General features: G+C 39.3%; 1 protein-coding gene across 4 annotated transcripts in view; it reads left to right on the plus strand.

Moving 5' to 3' along the window:
* The window catches only part of ICE1 (interactor of little elongation complex ELL subunit 1), a 67,544-nt gene that overhangs the window by 35,203 nt on the left and 6,237 nt on the right, over positions 1-26,104 (plus strand). Inside the window, exons 13-17 of one of the 4 annotated variants that reach the window (NM_015325.3) lie at positions 2,557-7,347; positions 8,455-8,623; positions 10,949-11,109; positions 15,679-15,869; positions 18,094-18,200. In NM_015325.3, coding sequence (NP_056140.1) covers positions 2,557-7,347; positions 8,455-8,623; positions 10,949-11,109; positions 15,679-15,869; positions 18,094-18,200 — 5,419 coding nt within the window. Of the gene's footprint in view, positions 1-2,556; positions 7,348-8,217; positions 8,300-8,452; positions 8,624-10,948; positions 11,110-15,678; positions 15,870-16,790; positions 18,201-26,104 lie in introns of those variants that run through there. The other 3 variants (XM_011513999.3, XM_047417047.1, XM_047417046.1) reach the window with 3 other exon arrangements.

A 26,104-nucleotide genomic window follows, 5' to 3' on the forward strand; every position in this document is an offset into this window, starting at 1 on the left:
GTTTTTAAAAAGCATGCCACTACCCTTTGGATCAACATATATAATATGTACTTTTTCACTTTGTGTTAGGGTTGCATTTTTGTTAGTCTTTATCCACAGCCAAATTACAAGTTTTCTATAGGAAGGCTGTGTCTTAATTGTTTTTATCTCTTGATATGGAATGACTGAATTAAACACATATTTGTATACATGGAGTTATATAGTGACAGGAAAATCCATGTATATAGCATCCATGCCCCTTAACCTGGTGTAGCCGAGTTTTCTACCTTTATTTGATGAATTCATCATCTTGTGTGTTTGCGGAATGGTTTACAGTAGTTTCTTAGGAAGTTAGTCTTTATGAAGCAGATGTATATATTTTTGGCTTAAGGAACAGATATGTGTTTTGCTCCTGGAATCAGTTTCTTTCTTTATGAAAACACCATGTGTGCCTGTTATGTTCCAGGGACCAGGCTAGACACTGGGTGTGCAGAGGTGACGAAAGATGCCATTGCCTCTCAGTGGGCTTCATTGTGTGGAGGTGGGAGCAGTAAAGGAGCAAACAGATTCATTGCTGTGTAGAGCCCTGCAGTGGTGGAAAACACGCTGCTTGGGAGCATAAAGAAAAGCAGCTCAGTCCTGAATGGAGGCCAGGGCAGGTTGCGGGGCAGGCAGGATTCTTCTGAAGATTCAATCCCCACACTGAGTTTTAAGGTGTGAGTGGGGTTGCTTCAGGTGGAGGAGCTGTTCTCACAAGAATGTAGAAGCAAGGGTGAGCTCTGTGTGTGGTAGATTCATGCAGGTGACACTGGGAAAGGCCATGTGCATCCTCCCAAGGAGTTCCTACTTTATCCTGAAGGGGGAAATCTTTGATGAATCCAAAGACATAGACTGAAAGATAGATTTTTATTTGAAAGTTTCATTTCAATATGAATGAGTAGGGAGTGGGGGGATAGTCAGAAAATAGACAAGACCACAGGCAGGGTAGCGGCTTAATAAGCAGCTCGCTTAAAATATTTTTTCTTTTTTTTTGAGACAGAGTCTCACTCTGTTGCCCAGACTGGAGCACAGTGGCGCGATCTCGGCTCACTGCAAGCTCCACCTCCTGGGTTCACGCCATTCTCCTGCTTCAGCCTCCTGAGTAGCTGGGACTACAGGCGCCCGCCACCATGCCTGGCTAATTTTTTTGCATTTTCAGTAGAGATGGGGTTTCACCGTGTTAGCCAGGATGGTCTCGCTCTCCTGACCTCGTGATCTGCCTGCCTCGGCCTCCCAAAGTGCTAGGATTACAGGCGTGAGCCACCGCGCCTGGCCACAGCTCACTTAATTTTTGATACCTGAACCTAAGTTGTGGCATTGGTGTTAAAGAGGTGGGAACTGGTTTGAAAAATGTTATGAGGTCAAATGAGCAGCATTTGGTGACATTTTTAATGTGGCAGTTAGGGGAGATGGAGGAGTCAAAGATGTTGAAAAATAGCAAATATAAGAAGTGACCCTGTTTGGGAGAATAATGTATAGAATGTTAGGTATGAGGTATGCATGTACACAGGTGAGATACTGGAGGGAGGCTGTGGTGGTGCACAGACGTTCAGGACCTGCCAGCACTTGAGTGCAGTGGAAGTCATGCAGCTCTGATGTCATCCAGTAAGAGTATGGAAGAGGAGAAGATGGAGTCCCAGTCAGGACCCTGGGGAACCGTCCCTATGTAAGTGACAAGTAGAAGAAGTGTGAGGAAAGGAGATTGAAAAGAAGGGCAGAATAGACGAAAGCCAGGAGATGATGGTACTCTGGAGTTCAAAAGAGGAAAGAATTCTTTCACTAGGAGCAAGTTGATGTCAGCAGCTGTTCATCTTCACCAGTCCACTGTTCTCTAACAGAATAGAGACAAGGTGGTTGATGCTGTCAGTGCACGCCAAGTGGGCCACATGCTCTAGGCAGTTAACTCAAGAGGAGACGAGTTGGGGGTCAGGGAAAGGTTCTGGAGCAGAGGTGGCTGGAGAACGGGCTGGGAGGGAGAAAGCTTTGTAAGGGTAGCACAGGTGGGTTGATGACATCAGTCAGGCTGCAGCACTCTGTGAGGACATGTTGGGGAGGAGATATGTGGTGGGAGATACCCACAAGACAGCGTCCCTCCCCCCCTGCACAAGGCTGTACCGGGCACAAGTCAGACACACCAGAGAGAGAGGAAATAGAGGGCCGTGAAGCCAGAGGCCAGCAACCTGGGTCAGAGCCTTTGTTACTAGATGATGGGGAAGTAACAGTGTGCAAGTAGGAATGTTTGAAAGTTAAGAGAAACATAACCCTGTGTAGAGTGGGGTGTGACACTTGGAAGCATGTCTGTTATTGGGGGAGGTGTCTCTGCGGGGTGCTGGGCACCCTTAAGGAGAGAGCAGAACAGTGTTGGACCAAAGCTGGAGAACTCCCCACCCACCACAGAGATTCCTAGCCTGCCCCTGCTCAAACGTGATTGTAAAGATTCTTCAGGAAACGTGTACTTTTAAAAAATAATGCATTTAATTGATAGTCATGTTAATCTGTTGAATTAGTGTTTGACAAGTGTAATTCATATTTTTTAAGGAAACCTACTTTGGAGAATACACAGATTCCAGCGATAATGACTCAGTCCAGCTTAGAAATTCTGCTGAGTGTGTTTCAGAAGATGATACAACTGAATCACAGAATTATTTTGGCTCATTGAGAAAAAATAAAGGAAGTGGCACATGGGAGGAAAAGCCCAAATCACATGAAGCTATCCAAGCTCTGAATACATGGGAAGTAAATAAAGTGACAACTTCTGGACTCGAGACTTTCACAGCAACACTGAGAGAATCTTCTGCCACACACTCCTTAGTTGGTGAAAAACACTGGACCACAGCATCTCGATCCATGAGTGATAGAAAAAGAGACATTTTACATGAGACAAAAACACAAATGGAGGTTAGGGAGATGGATAAGTCAGTACAAACTGAGAAGACCATTCATAAACTCACTCGAGGTCTATGCATTGAGAGATTGTCTGCCAGCCCTGCACAAGAGAAGGAAGCTGCCCCTGGGAAGTCTGAGTTGTGTTCTTCTCCCCTTGGCAAAAGGCCATTAAATGAACTCATGGAATCTGAAGGAAAAACCGTATTGTCTAAAATGATGGGATCGCCCAAATCAGAGTTTACTAAGTGGACACGAATTAATGAAATCACTTCTGAACCAGACCGTATCACAGTTTCTGGCCATTTTCACAGACTATCTAGAGAATTGGAAAAGGAAAAAGAAGATACTCAAGGGTTCACTTTAGGAGAATCACCTGAATCAGAAGATGATGACTCAGGTGATGGAATGGATGTAGCAGGGCTTGACATTGAAACCAGTTTTTCTTCCTCTTCTACCTTGGTAGCATTGTCTGTTGGCAGTAATCCCCAGTCTTCTTCTGGGTTAGACTGTGGTAATGATACAGATATTACTACTAAAGTATTCTCTACTGAACCGCATCATTCAGAACATAAATTGCAAACTAAAACTTTAAACACATTACATCTGCAGTCTGAGCCACCGGAGTGTTCTATAGGAGGAAACAACTTGGAGAATAGCTTGTGTGCCTTGAGCCCTGAATTGGGAGCATCTAATTTTAATGATCAGAAGAGCAGTGGGATAGAATATACAAAAGTAGTAAAAGGCTTGACCAAAATACATTCACTTCCTCGGTCAGTATTTATGAAAGCTACAAAAGATGGGCAATGTGAAAGTCAAGATCCAAGAATTGAGCTCACACTAAATAAGCCAGATTTCACATCATTAATAGGTTCTCAGGCTGCCTTGATCAAGAGTGGTTTGGGTTTTGTTAAAAGTACTTCATGGCACCATAGTGATTTATTAAGGAAAGGTGGCGAAGAAAGTCTGAGAGCCAAATCAGAACATGAACAGAAGACTAGCCATCAGTTACAAAAGGCAATGCCATTCCTACAAAATAGAGGACCAACACCCAAGCCTGATCTTCTTAGAGAAAATAACAATCCTGTAGAATTCAAGACCACTGCATCGGTGTTGCCTAATCAAGTATCAGTTATCACAAAACAGACAAGACCTGAAAAGGTTCAGAGTGCCAAATTGGAACACTTGAGGCCACATAGGGTTGAGCCTACCTTAGTAACAGAAAATAGTGGCAACAAAACCGGTATGTCAACTGTAGCAAAATGTGATGGGGAAAGAGATGATACAACACAAAACATCACGGAGGTGGCTGCTGTGAAAAGCATTTCACCAGAAGTTTCTGCCTCTAGGAGAAAATTAGATTTTAATTCTCCAGGTGGTTCTTCACCAGTAGAAAATTCTGATTGTTCCACAAATAGCAGATTATCTTTCTCTCCTGAAAATATCCTCATCCAAAACCAAGACATTGTGAGAGAAGCTGCAGTGCAGGGAGATGGGCAGAAGCAAAGGCAGCCTCAGGCCACAGATCTGGACTCCAGTGGGACACATGGCAGTGAGATGCTTCCAGCCACAGAAGTGACTGTGTCAGGAGGGTTTTCTGTTGAAGAAACCAGCTGTGGAGACACAGGGAGATCTGGTGGTGAGGCCCTGGCTGTTGCAAATGATTCTACCAGCACACCACAAAATGCTAATGGACTTTGGAAATTGAAATCTACAACTCCCGGTGGTGCTTTGCCTGAGTGTTTTGGCACCACAGACACTACTTTTTCTTCAGCATTTTGCAGAAAACATGGAGAGACACAGGATACCTCCCAAAGTAGCCTGCCTGGTACCTTACATTGTTACACAGGCATTCGAGAGGGGGGAGACGACACTGAGGTAGAGAGTGAGGCATTTAGCTGCAGTGAGGGGAGCGAACAGCAAGATGCTCCTGATGACTCACAGAAAAATTTAGGAGACACAGATGCTGCTGTAGCCGAGGTGAGACCTTCCTTAGAGGTAGGTTATTTGACGTCAGCTCTGCAAGATTTTAACATAAGTACTTTTTCTGAGCTGGATAGACTTTCCACATCAGAGGTTGTGATGTTTCTTGAGAGCTGTCAGTTAGGGGATTATAGTTCAGGGGACTCTGTTTCTGAATGTTCTAGTAAAGGAACCCTAAGTAAAGAAATGAACAAAGAATTAAAGGCAAGTGAAATAGGAGAAAAATACAGAAAGCAACCCTGTGAGGAAGAAACACTTGGAACCTGTGAAGAGTGGATTGAATCAGAGGAAGATGATTATTCGTTAAAAAATACAAGTCAGCTCACTCAGTGTTCTTTGGAAACTCTGTCTGAGGTTCTGACCAAGATTAGGCAAGAACTTCAAACAAATTCTGAAGATTGCAATGGTAAAGATACTGGCAGTTTATTGCTCTTAAATGTAAATAACAACATGACCACTGAGAATTTAAAAGAGAAAAGTCCATTTCGGGAAACGACTGGCTCCTCATCACATGCTTCAGAACCAACCCCACAAGCAGCTGCCTTGGACACTGAGGGCAGCTCTCCCATCAGCGGTATGCCTCAGAATGAAAACCCTCAGAGCAGACCAGAGGCCCGTTCAGATGCAGGCAGGCAAACCGATGGTGGGGAAGAAGACCTGCCAGAACCTGTGGAGCCATCAGCCTTGTGCTCTGACTCTGTGATGGAGCCATCCATAGAGCAAAGTTCTAACTGCGAGGCCGAAACAACATTTCAGTGTCAGATAGCAACAGTGACCTCAGAAGTTATAAACGTACTTATAAATAAGGATCAGAATCTAGTCATTGAAAAGGGGGACAACTGGACAATCATCAGTGGTGTAGCTGTCTTGCCACATGTGGACCAGGTCACACTGTGTGACATTCCTGGAGACATCCCTATTTCTCAGGATCAAGGAGAGCTGGAAGCTGGTTGCATCCCAGTGACTTCTGCTGAGAAGTCCCCAGAGGCCAGTCACACTGGCCCTGCATTTCAGGAGGCTCCATGTGGCAATAATCTTTCATGTCCCCAAGAGGATGTTTCAAGCAGTGGTCAGAGCACCAACTTTGATAAGAGTCGTTTGCGAAATAGACCCGTTAAGCCTAGTATATGGATTAGTTCTCAAATCTATGATCAAAACTTCGAGACTCAGATTGTTGCGTCTGATCACACATATTATAACTCAAAACTAGAGCCATCTGGCAAAAATAAGAATCGATCAAAGATTTCAAACAAAGATCAGTCAAACAAACCAGTAAAAACTTCAGCGTCGAGCAGAGTTGAAACTCATCAGAGTGAAGTTGCTCAGTCATTTTCAGGGGAAAAAGCTAATACAAAAACTCAAAGAAGCCAAACTCAGACCATTTTAGCAAATGCTGATACATCCACTCCTACAGATTGTTCTCCTGACACACTGAGTAAAATACGGCAAGAGGTGGGGCCTCCTTTGCCGCCTCTGCTTGCTCCTCTGATAGCTACACCTCCAAGGACTTCACAGCCACTGTCTCCACTGATATCGAGTTCTAGTCCTTCCTCACCAGCCTCTCCTGTTGGCCAGGTTTCTCCCTTCCGTGAAACCCCAGTGCCTCCTGCCATGTCTCCATGGCCAGAGGACCCCAGACGTGCCTCTCCTCCAGATCCTTCTCCATCTCCATCTGCAGCTTCAGCCAGTGAGAGGGTAGTGCCGTCTCCTCTGCAGTTCTGTGCGGCCACGCCGAAGCACGCACTTCCTGTGCCTGGCCGACTCCCACCCTGTGCATCTGGCCACGCTGCTGTGGGAGGGCCTCAGGAGAATTCTGTGAAAATCCTTGACACCATGTATCCAGAGTTATCTGCCAGGGCCCGGACCCTCAACATCCTCAAAGGGAATATTCAACTCACACGAGGTCCGCCTGCTGACTGTAAGAATTTACCGGGACCTGCCAGTGCTATGATAGGATTCAAAACGATCACTTCAGCAGCAACTGCTTTTGTCAAAACTGGGAGCAGCTCTGGTGGTGACTGTAACCAAGACAAGTCAAGAGATTTGGGGACTCAGCAGGATTCAAGCGGGAAAAGAACACTGTCAACGTCTACACTGAGAAGTGCTAAAAGACTGCGCCTGGACACTGGGTCCCCAGAACCAGAAACCAGGGGAGTCACTGCAGAAGGAATCCACAAAAACCTCCCAGGGAACCTCCCTCCAGCTGAAGTTGCAACAACAAATGAGGAAAGAAGTTGTTCTAGTCCAGCCGTCAGTGCAGTTTCACAGTTGCCTTTAAGCCCAAAAGAAACTGTGGAGTCCCATGATAAAGCCATAGCTAATGCCCTGAAGAAAATTGCAGAGTTTTCTTTTGATCTGTTACCTGTCATTCGTAGTCATGTGTATGTGGGAAATATCTCCAAAAAGCCCGTAATGAGAGATCAAGAGAAGGAAGTTGTTTATGAATTTAGCACAACAAAAAAGGTATGTGGCTGCTCTTTTCTAAGTGCATTAGGGATTACATGTCCTCAAAGACAGATGCTGTTTACTGTCAGCAAAATGTGTAGATGACCATGAACAAAAGTTTTACTTCAAGGATGAGAGTTATCCATGTAAACATTACGACTATATTTCTAGCCAGCATTTTACAGATTTAAAATATGATAAGACACTGGAGATTTGGTCATTTCTATTCATTAAATTACTTAAATTTTTTTAAAGTATCTGTCAGGACTAAAATTACATATATCCACTTGATCCTGGCATGTTTAGAGGCTTAAAATTATTTTCTTCAAAGCTTCAAATTATCACATAATTTTTCTTTTCCTTGAGTTTTTGTTACAAATCAAACAGGAGCAAATGCTTAGTGTCAAGAGAGGGAAAAAAGGGATGGTTTAAATTTAAATATGTAGTTTATTAGGACTTTTATAGTTCTATATTTTCTAAATATCCACTGGTACCTTGCTTGGATGACTTCTAGTGCTAGACGGATCACACTTAGTGCTTATCTGCAGACACTTGGAGTCATTTTGGCATAAATATTTATTTTTTTAGATTGCTTCCTTGCAGAAAGCATAAGGAGCTCCGTAAGTCACTTTGAAAGGAAGTGAATGCATATATCAAATTATGTAATGCTCCTCTTAGGACAAAAAATGTTACTTAGTATTTTAAATTTAAACAGTATATAGAGTAAATTAGAGTTTAGAAAACAAGAATGAGAGTAGAATTACATACTGTATTTCATATACTCACACAGATTACATAAGGCAAAACCCAAGAAATTATGATTATTTGACTAGTGGTAGTGACAGTATGCAGCTAGGTCTTTTGAGACTTGCATTCTGGCATCTGCAGCATTTACCAGCCATAGGAAACAGACAGGCGTGGGGATTTCTTCAGTACCCCCGACCTCGATTCTCATGATTTACCATGCTAGGTAAGTTCTTACCAGTTACTATGCTCTACCTTCTGATGTAGCGCAAGTTTTATTTTTTCAATAGATACTTAAGTTTTGTAACTTTTAGATAATCTTTGGTAGGCTGAAGATAAGTATGAGTGTACATTGCCTTTTTAATTTTTTTTTCAATCCAGCATTTAGCAGAGTGCTTGCTTCACTCTATTCTCTCAGAACTAAAAATTCAGAAGATATCTATGGACCACAATTACATTCACGCCCTCTGCAGGGTGTATGTGGGTATTTGTCGGCAACTCGGAGACTTGGAAAGAGCTCGTTTGTTTTGCTACAGCCTACTTAAAGAAGGTATGCTTAGATTGTGACAATTTTGTATTGAAAATATACGATTGCCTTTTTCCCTTATACTGGAGTCTATATTTTCAGCTCTGATTACTGTGTGTCTTTTAAAATAATGTTATGTTTTGTCCATTGAATAGCTTTAGCTATACCCAGCTGCACCTGGTCTTTAGTAGGGCTTACTTATATCAGCACTATATTTCCACTTGTAAATAAATGAGTATCTCTCATTACTGTGTATTTGTTCTATGCTCTGTGCAGCTGCTTTAGAATTAGATATAGTTGCCTTAAAGTATGGGATACTTTAAAGTAAGTGACAAGCCAAACTGCTGTACCACTAGGTGGAAAGGGCAGCAACTTTAAGATGGAATTGTAAGCTGATGAAAAGAAGTAGATGAGAGAAAGCTGAAAGGAGACGGTGACATGAGGGTTGTCCTTTGATTCTCTTTTCTCTTTACTATTTCTTCCATCCCTACTAGTGGATCAGACTGGGAATCATTCTTTGCTGTATCAAATCATCAGTATTTTTAAATCATATGATATACAAATGAAACCTAGTATCGTATCAGTCTTATCTCAGTGGTAAACATTTACCATCTTTGACTACCATGTTTATGGGGCTTATAAATCAGGATAATTGAGTATATCCATCACTTTTACTGTTGTGAACGAAGCTGTGAAGTGTTTCATTTGCCCACTTCATTTCTTTGTTTACTCTCTCAGTCATTCATTCAACAAATCATTATGGAGTGAATGTTGGGATTTCTGTGGTGATTAAAATCAGATGGAGGTACACTTGTCCAGTGGGACTGACAGGCCATAGTCATATCACAAAAACACACATGAAGTTCAGCAGTTGGTGGGTGGTGGGACGGAACGGGTGTGGGCTCGGCCAGGACCACGATGGATTTCTTCTTCTTCCTCAACCACAGCAAGCCCATTCTTAGCTCAAGCTTTTGTGCTGACAGCTTTCTTGCTCTGTTTCCCTCAACTCTTGTGTTTCACTCCATTAATTTCACATACCTTCCTAGTCATCCTGGATCCCTTATTTTTCTTTATTTGCCTTCCTGGCACTTACCACTTCTTAAAGATTAAATATTTTGTTTGCTGTCTCTCTGCTCCTCTAGCTTGTATACTCTGTAAGGAGAGAATTTATTTGTCTTGTTTCTACTCTGAAGTGTCACCAGATAAACATAGGATTCAAAAATTAACAGATGAAGTTTAGTGCAGTGAGTTTATGCTTTGAGCTATCTATTCTTAGATGTGTCAGTGATAGATAAAGTAGAACAAAGAAAACTAAAAAGATGTGATTGTACAGCAAACAGGATAAAAATCTTTACTTTGGAAGGCTCTTTGACAGTTTCTTATGAAATTAAAACATTCATTTATCCTATGGCTCAGAAATTCCACTCAGGCACTTACGCAGCAGAAACACAGAGTTAGATCATGACATCATTACATAAACTAGCACGCGGATGTAACATCTTGACTCATAGGAGCCCATAACTGGAAACAAATGTCCATCAGCAGGTGAATGGAAAACATTTTGATATATCAAGCAGTTAAATACTACTTGGCTATACAAAGGAATAGACTACCAATGCATGCAACAACACGGATGAATGTCAAAACCAACATGCTGAGTGGGGAAGCCAGACAGAAGAAAGTACCTACTTCACAAATCCATGAATAAATATTTGAGAAAAGGCAAACTAATGTATAGTGACAATAGATCAGGGCTTCTCTGTATCTGGGGTGAGGTGATATACTGCAGAGCACGAGAGCGAGAGAAGTTTTGAAATGATGGTATTGACTGTTGTGGTGGTGGTTTCGTGGATTTAATCATTTATCCAAATTCATTGAACTTTATACTTTAAAAGAGTTTATTTTATTGTCTGTAGACTACACTTCAATTAATTTTTAAAAAAGAGACAAAGAGTGTAGGAGAAAGTATTTACAACAAAAGAATTGTCATCTAGAATTTATTTTAAAAAATTCTTCAAATCAGAAGCTTTATGTGTTCAATGAGTAAATGTAATGCATAAAAACCTATGTAATGTAATACAAAACCTATGTAATGCAAAACCTATGTAATGCATAAAAATTGCCTGTAATGACACATACCAAATGGGAGAATTCTGAGACTGAGGAAGTTGGAGAACGGATTTTGGAAATGACTGTGACTGGAGCCTCATCTGGGCTCCCCATTTACAGCTTCCTCCATTGCAGGATGCCTGCAAGGCACCAGTGAAATTAATACAATTTGTTCTTAATTTGCAATTTATTTACTCGATCATACATCAAAGAGTTATTGTATTATTTTATTTCTGATAGATTTTCCGGAGTCTGAAAAATTAACTTTGTTTATTGCAAACATGTGGCATGATATATTTCTCTCTCAATCGGTGATTAATAAAGCAATGCAGTTAGTTGCCAGGCAACGTGCTAAAGGAGAGGTTCTGAACTGCTTGAGAGCTTTTCTTAATTGGGAAAAGGTGAGCCATATTTCTGTTTCTTACAGTATCTTACTTTTAGATATTATATAAATGTTAATTATTTTGTTGTGTATTTAGTTTTATATTAGTTCATAGGCATTTTCTTCTTTCTAGATCTTTTAAAATTTAATCAGTTTAGCCTAAGCTTATCCATTTTGTTAATTAAGAATGCATGAGACATTCAAGGAAGAATTGTAGACCAAAGGATTGTGTTAATTAACAGTTTGTGTTATACACTAATTTGTGACTGATGAAACCCACGCATAGGTGTATATGTTTAAAAGTCTCAGAGAAGCTACAAAATTATTTGGTTCTTCAATAGATACTTAGGTAAAAATATATATATTTCAGTTTTTTCCTATTAGGATTTTTAAAATCTAATATGCTTAATTTTTCTTTCCAGTTGATAGAATTTGTTTTTATGCTGACTAGTTTGTTCCCGTGTTATCTTTTATTATTATTTTCAGTTATTGATATGTTAAAGTAAGTGTCTAGATGGGTGTTCTTTCATCATTTTCTTTCATTCATTCATTTTACCTAATGAGAGTCTAACTACCGGTAGCGAACTTCAAGAAGAGGTACTGAAGCCAGTGATATTGATTTTTTAATTTTATTTTCTGTTTTTAATGAGCATGTATTTCCTCTTCTAAAAACTCCCCTGGGCTTATGTGTGGAGCAGAATTTTATATGCTGTTTTGCCTTTTTTTATTATTACTTTTGATGTTAGTATTTGTTAGGCTTTTATTTTTTATAAAACGTAAAGGAAAGAGCTTTTGGTGGTCAAAAGTTAGGTAAATATTAAAAAGCAAGTTTGTAATGATCTCTTCATCAATCTATCTAGACACAACAGAGTAGATTCATGTGAGGTATTGTCATAAATTCTAGTTGGTCATTTTGTGTCAGGAGAGACATCCTGACTCCTACTAATGGATACCAGCAACCACATATATATCTGCTCCAGAGGGCTGCCAGCTTCCGGAGAGTTACCTGCTTCTGGAAGGTTACCTGCCTCCAGAGACTTACCTGCTTTGAGGGTTACTGCCTTCCGAGGGTTACCTGTTCCCAGAGAATTACCTGCCTCTGGAGGGTTACCTGTTCCCAGAGAGTTACCTGCCTCGAGCATTACCTGCCCCAAGAGAGTTAACTGTTCCCAGAGGGTTACCTGTTCACAGAGAGTTACTTGCCTCCAGAGGATTACTTGCCTCCAGAGAGTTACCCGTTCCCAGAGGGTTACCTGCCTACAGGGGGTTACCTGTTCCTAGAGAGTTACTGTGTCTGGAGAGTTACTTGCCTTCAGAGGGTTACCCGCCTTCAGAATGTTATCTGTCCAGCCTGCTTCTGCTCTCACTTGGTCTTTCCACTTGCACACTAGAGCCCATCTCCTTTCACCTGTTCAGAATTAAGCAGGATATGGTTAAAAAGACATTACTTATGAAGAACATAACATTTTAGTAAATGTATTTGCTAAATATTGTATCAAATAAAAATACATAGAGCTTTAAGAAAGGTGAGAAATACTTGGGGAATAAAACCCCATTATATTACAGGATTTCCAAATACTCACTTACAGAATTAAACATCTGGTAAACAAAAATGAGGACATAGTACAGTTCATTAATTTAAAAAGTAAATGTGTATGAAGAATATGTATTTTTTATATATCTATGACACATTTGCACAAATGAATGATGAATTGGCCACATGAAAACATTCATTTCTAAAAGCAAAGATTTGACACTCAAAATTCCCTGGTAATAATTCAGTAAAATTTAACAGAAAAAAAATTCAAAATATTTACATTTACTTTGAAATTGAGATATACATTCTTAGACAATCTGGGAACAAATAAAATATGCAAAGTAAAATCACAGTCTTAAAAGTCAATGAAAAGGTAAACTCAGAATCAAATATCTCTAGCTTTTTTGGAAAACATGTACTCATTAAAGTATCTTAAATGTCTTAGTTGTTTAGCAGAAAATAAATGAAGTTAACTGTTACTCATCTTCAACATTAGAAATATGACAAGGGAACCAGAGAAAAAGAATAAATTTTAAGAGATAGTAGTAACTAAGTGGAAAAGAAACAGAAACACATAGAAGACAAAAATACTACCTTTAAAAAATGCCAGCAACATAGATAGCTGACAGTGCAGATCAGCAAAAACAGAGAAAAGCAAAAATAGTGAAGATTTGAAATGGGAAAGTAGACATATAGGACACAGAATGAGAAGACTACTACCTGCAGTCCTATAGCAGCAGATTTGGAAACAGGGTGATTTCCTGGCAAAATAAAAATGATGAATATTGGCTTTGGGGTAGAAAACTTGAAAAGACTGGTTGAAAAGATGATTAAAACTTTTCTGTACAAAGACATGTGTAGATTCCACCTGAGTTTTAATCTAATCTTTAAAGAACCAAGTAACTATAATCTATTTTAAGCATGAGGAAAAATTGAAAGCCTTCTGTTCATTTCTAGTAATAAAACCCAATTAAAAATGCTATAAGAAAGAGAAAAAAGCCAGTTTTTAGTGAGTCACTTAGATGTAAAAAGTGTCACTAAACAGGAGATTTCAGTATGTATTCAAAGAATAATACTTTATAACTAAATAGAGTTTATCCTGATAAAACAAGGAGAATTCAGAATCAGAAAATCAATACATTACTAAATTAAAGAAGAAACCCCCATGGGATTATTCCTAGACTAGGAAATGAAGGAAACTTATTAAATATGATACTACTAGTTAACAAGAAATCAGTAGTATTGTCTTCAGTGTAAATTTTGAAATTATTTCAGTTTTTAAAATCATGAGTTAGGGATTCCTGCTGTAACCATGGTGGGAAGTATTTCCCTGGGTTGGGTTCTTCAAGGTGGTTCCTCCTCCAACTTTTTCTGGTGGAGGTGATAAAATCTTTAAGGATGCTCTATATGTAGAAGTGACTTCCTGGTTTAAATTACTGCTGAATTTTAAAGTTGTAAATTTATAAACCTTTTAAAAAAGCATTTAAATTCATGAGTCATGATTCATTTATAAATCAATTAATTGTTAACAAAGTAAGAATGTGTTTACTTTGGCCATTGATGAATGTTAGTTAACTCATGTATTTAACAGATTCACATTTCCTAAATAATCTTATTTACAAATTTCAGATTATCTTAAAACTTTAAACATATTCATAAACTTAAGATGTATTCTTCAAAAACACTTAAAGTAGGCCTTCAAATCTAATAAGCATAATCTTTTAAGCACTTAAGCAACTCTTGAATGTAGAACATGAGTTGTAATAAATATTCAATGTTTACAAACTTAATTACATTCTGTTAAACATGTCTAATTAAAATTATGATTCTAATACCAAATACTTCAATTACAGCCACACCTGAAACATAGGAGATTCTCAGCACTTTATGGAGCGTGTATTGTATACATGCAGATTATCCCATGTTCACAATTACTGCCAAATGTAAAATAGGTACTCAAAAAAGTGAATATATGGATTTGATTTCTTTCATGTCAAAATTTATTTCTGCATCTGCTCAGGTTGCGAAGTCACTGATTTTTCTAAGTGGGAAATATTTACCATTCTGGCTGAGTTTTGGTTATCAGGTGTATTATTTTGAACCATGATTTGGCTATGGATTATCTTATAGAAACCTTGAGACTTAGAACCTTTCAGGATATATATGGCCAAGCTACAGGTTCACTTGTGGAGTCCTTCTAGTAATAAAGCAAATTTCCAAGCCCAAGCCTTTTCTTGTATTAAGTATATTGAGTATTATATGTGTATTATTTTTATAATGAAACTCATGCAGTGCTGGTGGAAACGTGAAAAGGCATGACTACTTTGCAAAATTGTTGGGCACCATCTTATAAAGTTAAGCCATTTCTTAGCCAGAGGCCCAGGAGTTCCACTCTTAGGTATTTTCAAGAGAAGTGAAATTTACATCCTCACAAAGGCTTGCACGTGAATATTCATAGCAGCATTAACAGTAGTCAAAAGTGAATTGATAAACAGTAATATGTCCATATAATTGGTTATTACTCAGCAGTAAAAAGAAGTTCAAACTACTCTTTCATGCAACACTATGGATAAATATCATAACACATTATACACAGGTGTGAAAAAAGCCAGAAATAAGAATTCATTACTGTCTGATTCAGTTTTATGAATTTCTCGAAAAGGCAGACTGATACTCAATGTCAGAAAAATAATAGAATTTAAAGAATTTTTAAAGGTTTATTTTTATAATTATAACTAGCTTTCTAACTTTAATTCTCTAATTTGAGTTGATGAAACTGTGCTTTCCTATCTGGATTACAGGTAAGCTCTTTTCTACCTGATTGGATCCTGCATCCTGCCTATATTGCTTTTTAATCTGGCTCATCCAGCTACCATTGTGTAATCATTCTGTGACTAAGATAAACATGGTTCCTTAGTCAAACTGTTTTAAAAAGCTATTTCAGATTAAATGATTAGTCATCGAATGCTTATTATAGTCTTTTAGATAACTAAGGTAAGATGCATTCTATTTGAAACTCCAGATTTTATTTTATTTCTTTTCATTTGCTAGAATGCCCCGGTAGATGTTGGCTTCATGGTTTCTAAGCTGCTTTTGACCATACAGTTATGTCCAAAAACAGAATTTCAACCTAGTGAAAAATTTGGTGAAGACCTAAGTGATAACACTTGGGAATACATATTTGCCATTGATCTGCTCTGCTGCCATCAGAAATGGATCTGGACGCATGATAACATCATAAGGTTAGTTATTTTACTAATTTAAATAAAGATATGTTATTGTAAGGTTGAATTGTTGAACACTGAATTGTGGCTTGAATCATTTTTGTCGTTTAAGTGTGTAAGGCAGATGAAACATTTACAAATTACACTGTTTTTATTTTATAAGAGTTAATAAAACTACCCTTAAGATACCTTCATCACGGCCGGGCATGGTGGCTCACGCCTGTAATCCCAGCACTTTGGGAGGCCGAGGTGGGCAGATCACGAGGTCAGGAGATCGAGACCACCCTGGCTAACATGATGAAACCCCGTCTCTACTAAAAATACAAAAAATTAGCTGGGCGTGGTGGTGGGCGCCTGTAGTCCCAGTTACTCGGGAGGCTGAGGCAGGAGAATGGTGTGAGCCCGGGAGGCAGAGCTTGCAGTGAGCGGAGATTGTGCCACTGCACTCCAGCCTGGGTGACAGAGTAAGACTTCATCTCAAAAAAAAAAAAAAGAAAAAAAATGCTACCTTCATCCCTATCACATTTTCTTGCTTTATTTTTCTTTAGTACCTGTCACTAGTTTTTGTTCAATTCTGCTATTGTCATCTCTCTCCCCAGTAGAAATGACTCTGGAGGGGCGGAGGGTGGCCTTGGTTGGCTTGTGGCGTATCCCTAGCATGCGGAACAGTGCCCACACAAGGGGAGCACCTGGCGAATGTATGTTGAATGAAATTAATTATCATTATCGTAACATACAGATACTCACAAAACCTAAAGGGAAGAGAAATATTCAAAATTATAAATTAGCAGCTTCTGTCACCTGGGAGAAAATTAAGCTCTCTGACATTCATTGTATGTAGTAAATTAACTTTTCTCTGTGCATCTATAATTCTGGCACTAGCTTTGTACCATCTCTGAGAGAATGGAGAAAATTGTCACTCAAATAATTTTTCTGTAGGTCTTAATTTTCTTGTGGAACCCTGGCTGAGAAAGGCTGGTTTAAGGGAGTTGGTGACATTAAAAAGGATGCATCAAAGGTTTGATAATCCATATCCTTGAGATACTTGAAGCTGTGGAAATTACCTTGTCCATGGATCCATGTGTGTCCAAGGATGTCTGTTACTCTTGTTCATCATCTTGACACTAAGGGAAGATTAGACATCTGAATGTCAAACAGTAAGGAATCAAATCATGGCACTCCTGTATGAGATGATAGCTATATTAAAACACATAGCTATGAATGGATTACTATGTATTGACATGGAAAAGTATTTCCCAGTCTGTTACTAAATAAGAAAATGACAGAACAGTCTGTCCAGTGCCAGTCTGTATAATGATGTGTCAGGGCCTGCTGTGGGCCTCAGCTTTCTGAATCCTCATGGGAACCCATGAGGCAGGGCCCTGCTGGCCCCAGTTATGCATGAAGAGACCAGGGCTGGTGCCCGTCAAAGATGCTTCGTCCACGATCCCTGCACTCGTGATGAAGACATCATCAAACATGAGGATCTCCACCTGAGCAACTGCCGACCCTGCTCCCTTCCTCAGCACTGGTGGCTCTCTCCAGGTTGTTTACATCCATAGATAGTAGGGAGTATCTAGAAGAAAAGCCAGAATTAGAAGAGTAATAATGATCTGAGACTGAGTTTGGAGTGCTTTTAATTATCATTTTTCTTTTGTCTACATTAAACTTTTCTAGTGATACTTTATGAATACCATGAAAGAAGTAGATAGATTTTTGAAAAAACAGATGACAAAGAGGAATTGGCACTGTTTTCAGTCAGTGGAAACTTTCTTTTATCCATCTAAAGTGTTATTTGATTACTGAAGTTACAGTTTTCCTCTGGCTTAGCTCCTTTTGGTTTACATGCACAGCTTTATTTGTCTGTGATCCTGCCGGATAACTTGGCTTCTAAAACACAGGGGCTGCTTTTGCACCTGGAGAGTCCAAGTGAAAACTCAGGCTCTACCACTTCGTAGTTCTGGGACACTGGGGATGCTCTTCAGCTTCTCTGTCCAAAGCCTTGTTCAGAAGAATTAGAACAAGATGCAAGCACTGAATTTGCAGCCACGTTTAAGCTAGCATGGGCACAACTATGCTGTTGGAGAAGATGTGAGCATCCAGTATCTGTTCTCACTTGAACTTACAATGTTAGATCCTCAGCAGTTATCCTCTTTCACTTATTGCTTAAGGATCATTTATAAGATATTAGTATTATTTGAGTGATGATGAGCATACATCTTTTCATGTTGTTTTTTTATAGTAAGGAGCTGTGGCCTGTGATGGATAAATGGATAAAATACAGAAAAGGACATGCAAACATTGCGTATACTCCTGATATTATTATAGCCTCAATACTGAGGCTGATTGGTAAGTTGTCTGTTTTATTATTGTTTTTTTCTTGTTATTGATATCTTGGTGGAAGGCTGGGGGGTTAACTGTATAATAAAATATGCTGACTTTGAAAATTTCTGATTTTACAACCATCAGAGTAGATACTTTTGTACTTAAGTCATTCTCCTTTCTCTCTCCTTGTAAATTAGTGTTTTATTCATCTTTTTCAGAGATTAAGATTTTTCATATTAGTACATTTTAGTTACAATTGAGCTCTTTTTAGATGCTAATACTAATATACATAAAGACTAGGATATATAAGTCGCTATAAATTATACTGTAGTTTCATTTGGTTTCTAAAATAAGGATTGTATTAAGCCATTCTTGCATTGCTATATAAAACTACCTGAGATGGGATAATTTATAAAGAGGTTTCATTGGCTTCCAGTTCTGCAGGCTTTACAGGAAGTAGAATGCTGGCACCTGCTTGGCTCGTGGGGAAGCCTTAGGGAGCTTTCAGTCATGGTTGCAGGTAATGGGGGAACAGATACATCACATATGGAAAGCAGGAGCAAGTGAGGGGTAGCGGGGAGGGGTCACACACTTTCAAATGACCAAATCTCCTGTGAACTCAGAGCAAGAGCTTGCTCACCACACGGATGGCCCAAGGCATTCATGAGGGATCCGCTCCCATGATCCAGACACCTCCCACCAGGCCCCACCTCCAGCACTGGGGATTACAATTCAACGTGAGATTTGGGCGGGGACAGATAAACAAACTGTATCGAGGATATCTTCACACCACCTGCCCAATTTTTTCATACTTGCTTGATAAGGGTCACTTAAGCGAATTACAGAAATGAAATGATTGTTTAAAAATATTTTAAATGAGACATGGATCCTTCTTAATCTCATATTTAAAGAGGACCTCAATGGCCATTTGGTTCTGCTTCCTTATTTGCTACAAATCGTTAGTTTTTATTTTTACTTATCTCCTATGAATCTTTATTTTTATTTTTATTTTTACTTATTTTTTTCCTCTGTCTTGTCTTCAACAAGCTGCTGTCCAAGCCCTGCAGAATTATCAGTGATAAAATCTATTAATTAGAAAGATCTCTTAGACAGAAAAAACCCTTCAAAAAAATCAATGAATCCAGGAGCTGGGTTTTTGAAAAGATTAACAAAATAGACCACTAGCCAGACTAATAAAGAAGAAAAGAGACAAGAATCAAATAGACACAATAAAAAATGATAAAGGGGTTATCACCACTGATTCCACAGAAATATAAACTGCCATCAGAGAATACTGTAAACACCTCTATGCAAATAAACTAGAAAATCTAGAAGAAATGGATAAATTCCTGGACACACACACTCTCCCAAGACTAAACCAGAAAGAAGTTGAATCCCTGAATAGACCAATAACAAGTTCTGAAATTGAGGCAGTGATTAACAGCCTACAAACCAAAAAAGCCCAGAACCAGACAGATTCACAGCCAAATTTTACCAGAGGTACAAAGAGGAGCTGGTACCATTCCTTCTGAAGCTATTCCAAACAGTAGAAAAAGAAGGAATCCTCCCTAACTCATTTTATGAGGCCAGCATCATCCTGATACCAAAACCTGGCAGAGACAAAACAGAAAAAATTTCAGGCCAACGTCTCCAGTGAACATCGATGCGAAAATCCTCAATAAAATACCGGCAAACCAAATCCAGCAGCATATCAAAAACTTATCCACCACGATCAAGTCAGCTTCAACCCTGGGATGCAAGGCTGGTTCAACATATGCAAAGCAATAAGCCTAATCCATCACATAAACAGAACCAGTGACAAAAACCACATGATTATCTCAATAGATACCGAAAAGGCCTTCAGTAAAATTCAACATCCCTTCATGCTAAAAACTCTCAAACTAGGTATTGATGGAACATAACATAATTAGAGCTATTTATGACAAATCTACAGCCAGTATCATACTGAATGGGCAAAAGCTGGAAGCATTCCCTTTGAAAACTGGCACAAGGCAAGGATGCCCTCTCTTACCACTCCTGTTCAACATCGTATTGGAAGTTCTGGCCAGGCCAATCAGGCAAGAGAAAGAAATAAATAGGAAGAGAGGAAGTCAAACTGTCTTTGCAGATGACATGATTGTATATTTAGAAAACCCCATCGTCTCAGCCCAAACACTCCTTAAGCTGATAAGCAGCTTCAGCAAAGTCTCAGGATACAAAATCAATGTGCAAAAATCACAAGCATTCCTATATATCAGTAATAGACAAGCATAGAGCTAAATCATGTGTGAACTCCCATTCATAATTGCTACAAAGAGAATAAAATGCCTAGTAATAAAACTTACAAGGGATGTGAAGGACCTCTTCAAGGAGAACTACAAACCACTGCTCAAGGAAAAAGGACACAAATGGAAAAACATTTCATGCTCATGGATAGGAAGAATCAATATCGTGAAAATAACCACACTGCCCAAAGTAATTTATAGATTCAATGCTATTTCCATCAAGCTACCACTGACTTTCTTCGCAGAATTAGAAAAAACTACTTTAAATTTCATATGGAGCCAAAAAACCCATATAGCCAACACAGTTGTAAGCAAAAAGAACAAAGCTGGAAGTGTCACAGTAGACTTCAAACTATACTAAAAGGCTATAGAAGCCAAAATAGCATGATACTGATACCAAAACAGACATATAGACCAATGGAACAGAACAGAGACCTCAGAAATAACTACACATCTACAGCCATCATCATGATCTTTGACAAACCTGATAAAAACAAGCAACGGGAAAAGGATTCCCTATTTATTAAATGGTGCTGGGAAAACTGGCTAGCCGTATGCATAAAACTGAAATTGGACCCCTTCCTTACACCTTATACAAAAATTAACTTAAGATGGATTAAAGACTTAAATGTAAAACCCAAAACCATAAAAACCCTAAAAGAAAAACTAGGCAATACCATTCAGGACATAGGCATGGGCAAAGACTTCATGACTAAAACGCCAAAAGCAATTGCAACAAAAACCTGAATTGACAAATGGGATCTCATTAAACTAAAGAGCTTCTGCACAGCAAAAGAAACTACCGTCAGAATGAACAGGCATCCTACAGAATGGGAGAAATTTTTTGCAATCTATCCATCTGACAAAGGTCCAATATCCAGAATCTACAAGGAATGTAAACAAATTTACAAGAAAAAACAACCCTATCAAAAAGTGGGCAAAGGATACGAACAGACACTTCTCAAAAGAAGACATTTATGCGGCCAACAAACATGAAAAAAAGCTCATCATTCACTGGTTATTAGAGAAACGCAAATCAAAACCACTATGAGGTACCATCTCACACTAGTTAGGATGGTGATCATTAAAAAGTCAGGAAACAACAGATGCTGGTGAGGCTGTGGAGAAATAGGAATGCTTCTACACTGCTGGTGGGAGTGGAAATTAGTTCAAGCATTGTGGAAGACAGTGTGGTGATTCTCAAGGATCTAGAAACAGAAATACCATTTGACCCAGCAATCTCACACTAGTGGGTATATACCCAAAGAATTATAAATCATTCCACTATAAAGACTCATGCACACATATGTTTATTGCAGCACTATTTACAATAGCAAAGACTTGGAACCAACCCAAGTGTCCATCAGTGAGAGACTGGATAAAGAAAATGTGGCACATAATATACCATGGAATACTATGCAGCCATAAAAATGAGTTATGTCCTTTGCAGGGACATGGATGAAGCTGGAAGCCATCATTCTCAGCAAACTAACACAGGAACAGAAACCCAAGCACTGCATGTTCTCACTCATAAGTGGGAGTTGAACAGTGAGAACACATGGACACAGGGGAACATCACACACTGGGGCCTGTCGGGGCATGGGGGGTAAGGGGAGGGAGAGCATTAGGACAAATACCTGTGGGACTTAAAACCTAGATGATGGGTTGATAGGTGCAGCAAACCATCATGGCACATGTATACCTATGTAACAAACCTGTACGTTCTGCATGTGTATTCCACAACTGAAAAAAGAAAGCTCTCTTAGTTTTGACCTGACTTCTCTATCTGCAGCATGTATTCTTTGCCCCTGGGGAATATAAAACAAGCTTCATCCAATTTCTGCATTATAGCCCTTAGATACTTTGAAGATAATTATGACTTTTAAGTATCTTTGGATTTTTCTTTTTCTTTTTTTTTTTTTTTTTTGAGATGGAGTCTGGCTCTGTTGCCCAGGCTGGAGTGCAGTGGCACCATCTCGGCTCACTGCAAGCTCCGCCTCCCGGGTTTGCGCCATTCTCCTGCCTCAGCTTCCCTAGTAGCTGGGACTACAGGCGCCCGCCACCACGCCCGGCTAATTTTTGTATTTTTAGTAGAGACGGGGTTTCATCATGTTAGCCAGGATGGTCTCGATCTCCTGACCTCGTGATCCACCCACCTCGGCCTCCCAAAGTGCTGGGATTACAGGTGGAGCCACCGCGCCCAGCCGGATTTTTCTTAATGAAAACTCACAGATAGCATCATTTGAAATAAGGTTAGTGTTTGAGAATCGGTTATATAAGTCAGTCTAAAAATAGATCACAGTAGGAAATACCCTGTGAATTTTGTTACTGTATCGGCAAATTTGCATTCCTCCTCTGTGTGTACTTTGCATGCAAATATAGCAACATTGCCCTAAGTAAATAAAATGGTTCTAGACAAAAACCTGGTTACAAAGTAGACACCAAATTTCACTGGAAATAACCAATAATACACTTGGAGATAAGTTACCAAACAAGAGTGTAGGAGAACCAAATGATTGCCAAAGACTATGAATTTGGTAGAGATACATCAGAAGATAAGCAGAGGCACAGAAGTGGAAATGAAACTATGCCATGTGGTGTACAGGTTCAAAACTGTTTTGCTGAATTCCTTAGTTCAAGATACCCTCAAGAACAATTTTCATTCTAGCTGTGGAGCGCTAGGGAACACAGGAGGGTCAGTGATGGCATTCCCCATAGTTAGGTGACATCTATATATCTGGAAATGCTGATTTCAGTAGCAGCTTCTCTTATGAATTCAGGAAAAAATGCTCATGCTTTTGACTCATTCTAAATTGTGAAATCTTTTTTGAGAGTTAAAAAAAATTAGAAGAGATGTTTTAAGGTGTAAATAAATATGTTATCCTAGATAATCTGTGGAATTTTCAAAACAATATGGTATTTTTTTAAGTCACACTTTAAAATATGGTGATTTTTTTGTTCTTGTTTTACTGGTTGTGTTTCTGTATTGGTTAATCTGGAGAGGAAATAAGAGTGAAGACTGTTTTTTGTGGTCAGCAGCCTTATACGACAGCGGAAGCAGCCTCTTTGCGTTTATAGAGGAGGGTCAGCTGTACCTGTGATTTATCTTGGTGTCTTCTCCAGTGTCTCTTCTAACTAGTGTTTATCTTCTGGGATTACCAAATTTGGCTGGCCATCCAAATTGCCAGAGAAGCTTCTTAAAAAACATAGATTCTCAGGTTCCATCTTCCAAGGTTCTGATAGTGTTAGAGTAGTGTCTGCAAAGCTCTATAGGCATGCTAATGAAATAATGGGTTCGGAAAAGAATGATTGCCATAAATAAAATAGTATACACGGTCATTCACCACATAACAATGTTTTCATCAGCAGTGGAGCACATACCAGAAGGTGATCTCAGAAGATGATAATACCTTGTTTTCCTGTACCCTTTCTATGTTTAGATACACAAATGCTTACTCAAGTGTTATAGTTGCCTCCAGTATTCGGTACAGGAACATGCTGTACAGATTTGTAGCCTATCAGTAGGCTACCCCATATAGCCTAGGTGTGTAGTGGCTACTGCATCCATGTTTGTGCAAGTGTACTCTAGGATGATGTTTGTCCAAGGACAGAATCTCCTCAAAGATGAATTTCTTAAAATGTGGTCTCCTGACTAAGCGACCTGTGACTGTACTTTACCTTTCATTTAGATGTCACAAAACTCTTTTAAAGAAAACTATTTAAGATTATATACTTTCAAATATGTACCTTAAAATATGTGAATTAAGAATATGTTAATAGTTTATTTAAAAAGAAGGATGTGTAATTGTAGGGATAAAATATGGCTTGTAATTTTGTTCAAATCAAGTCTAGTTTATTCTTTGAATCTAAAATTCTGGCTGTTGAGAGCCAAATAATTTATGACTATTTAATAATATGTATTATTTAGAGTAATATATGCATACTTATACAATTAAGACTGATATACAATACAATTATATGTTATAGAGAATAAGAATAATGTGTAATTAACATAATATATAATTGACAATACCATGTACTAAAATGCTTATAAACATATAAAAGCAGTTCAGAGGATGGATAATTAGAAAGCGTAATGTCAAAGTAGGAGCAAAGTCAGGAAGAATAAGCCCTTCTCAGGTCTGCTGATGAAGTCGTGTGCATGAGCAAGATGGGTGTGGGGAGGCTGGAGCACAGCCTAGTGGGCTGCCACGTGTGCACAGGTGCACCAGCACAGGAGAGGAGCAGCAGAGCCTGGTCCTGCCTGTCCTTTTCGTGCCGTGGCACTATACGCAGGAGATGGGACTCAGAGCGAGGCAGTTGCTGGGTGACAAGGACAGTAGTGTGGGCTGAGGGCAAAGGGTGAAAGTGAGTGAAGCCTGCTGTTTAGGCCTGGCAGATTTCTCAGAGGTGACATTAACACCCCCACCCCCCAACACACACACACACACACACACACACACACACACACTCATCTGGATGAGAGTTTGAATTGTTACTAAGGAGAAACTGTTAGTGAACTTTCTTGCCATTTCTGAATCTGACCTTGACTGAAAAATTGAGTAAAAAATCAAGTTGGTAGGCTGTGATTTAATAATAATAACTTAAGTCACACACTAATCTTCATAAAATAAAGGAATTGTCTTTATTCTTTTTTTGTTTTTTTTGAGACGGAGTTTCGCTCTTGTTGCCCAAGCTGGAGTGCAATGGCGTGATCTCAGCTCACTGCAACCTCCACCTCCCAGGTTCAAGCGATTCTCCTGTCTCAGCCTCCCGAGTAGCTGGGATTACAGGCATGCGCCACCATGCTCGGCTAATTTTTTGTTGTTTTTTTTAGTAGAGACAGAGTTTCTCCATGTTGGTCAGGCTGGTCTCAAACTCCCGGCCTCAGGTGATCCTCCTGCCTTGGCCTCCCAAAGTGCTGGGATTACAGGTGTGAGCCACCATGCCCGGCCACTGTCTATTCTTAATTCAAAATTTGCACATCCTATTGAGATTTTTACTCCGTGGACAGTAAAACAAGCTTTAGGTCAGTGAGACTTGCGTTATCTAATGTTGGATTCAGGTGTGAGCATTGCTAACAGCAAATGGTCACAGGATTAGTACACGGGGTTTACTCCAACCTACCTTAATGATTAACTATTAAAGAGCATTTTGTGGAATGCTTGAATTGCTCTAGAGTCACAGAAATGTGGTGGAGAATAGAAACTGATCTCACTGCAGTGCTCAGTTCTTGGCAGAGCTGAAGCCTAGAAAGATTAAGCCCTTCTCTGAGGCCATCCAGTGGAAAGGTAGCAAAGTTGGGACAGAAATTTGCCTACCACTGGATTCAGTGGAGTGTAAATCTGTAGAATACCACCTTTCTGCCCCAAAGAGCTTATAAAATCCTGAATAATTTGCCCCTCCTTGTATTAACTGGAACCTAGAGCTAGAAAAACACTGTGTCACATGTCAGGTTTCTGCAGGTCAGACCGAAGTAGCCATTATTCAGTGATTTCTATCTGTTCTCTTGGCAAATCTGTCAGCTTTCCTTTGAAATTGTGTCAGCTCACCTTTCCTTTGCAAACTTGCATCCAGAATCTTAAATGAAAACCCTGCTGTCTTTATCTTCTAATTAGTGTTTATTAGAAGGGTCTGCCTGTA

Source organism: Homo sapiens, chromosome 5 (genome assembly GCF_000001405.40).
Source record: "Homo sapiens chromosome 5, GRCh38.p14 Primary Assembly".
Lineage (NCBI taxonomy): Eukaryota > Metazoa > Chordata > Mammalia > Primates > Hominidae > Homo > Homo sapiens.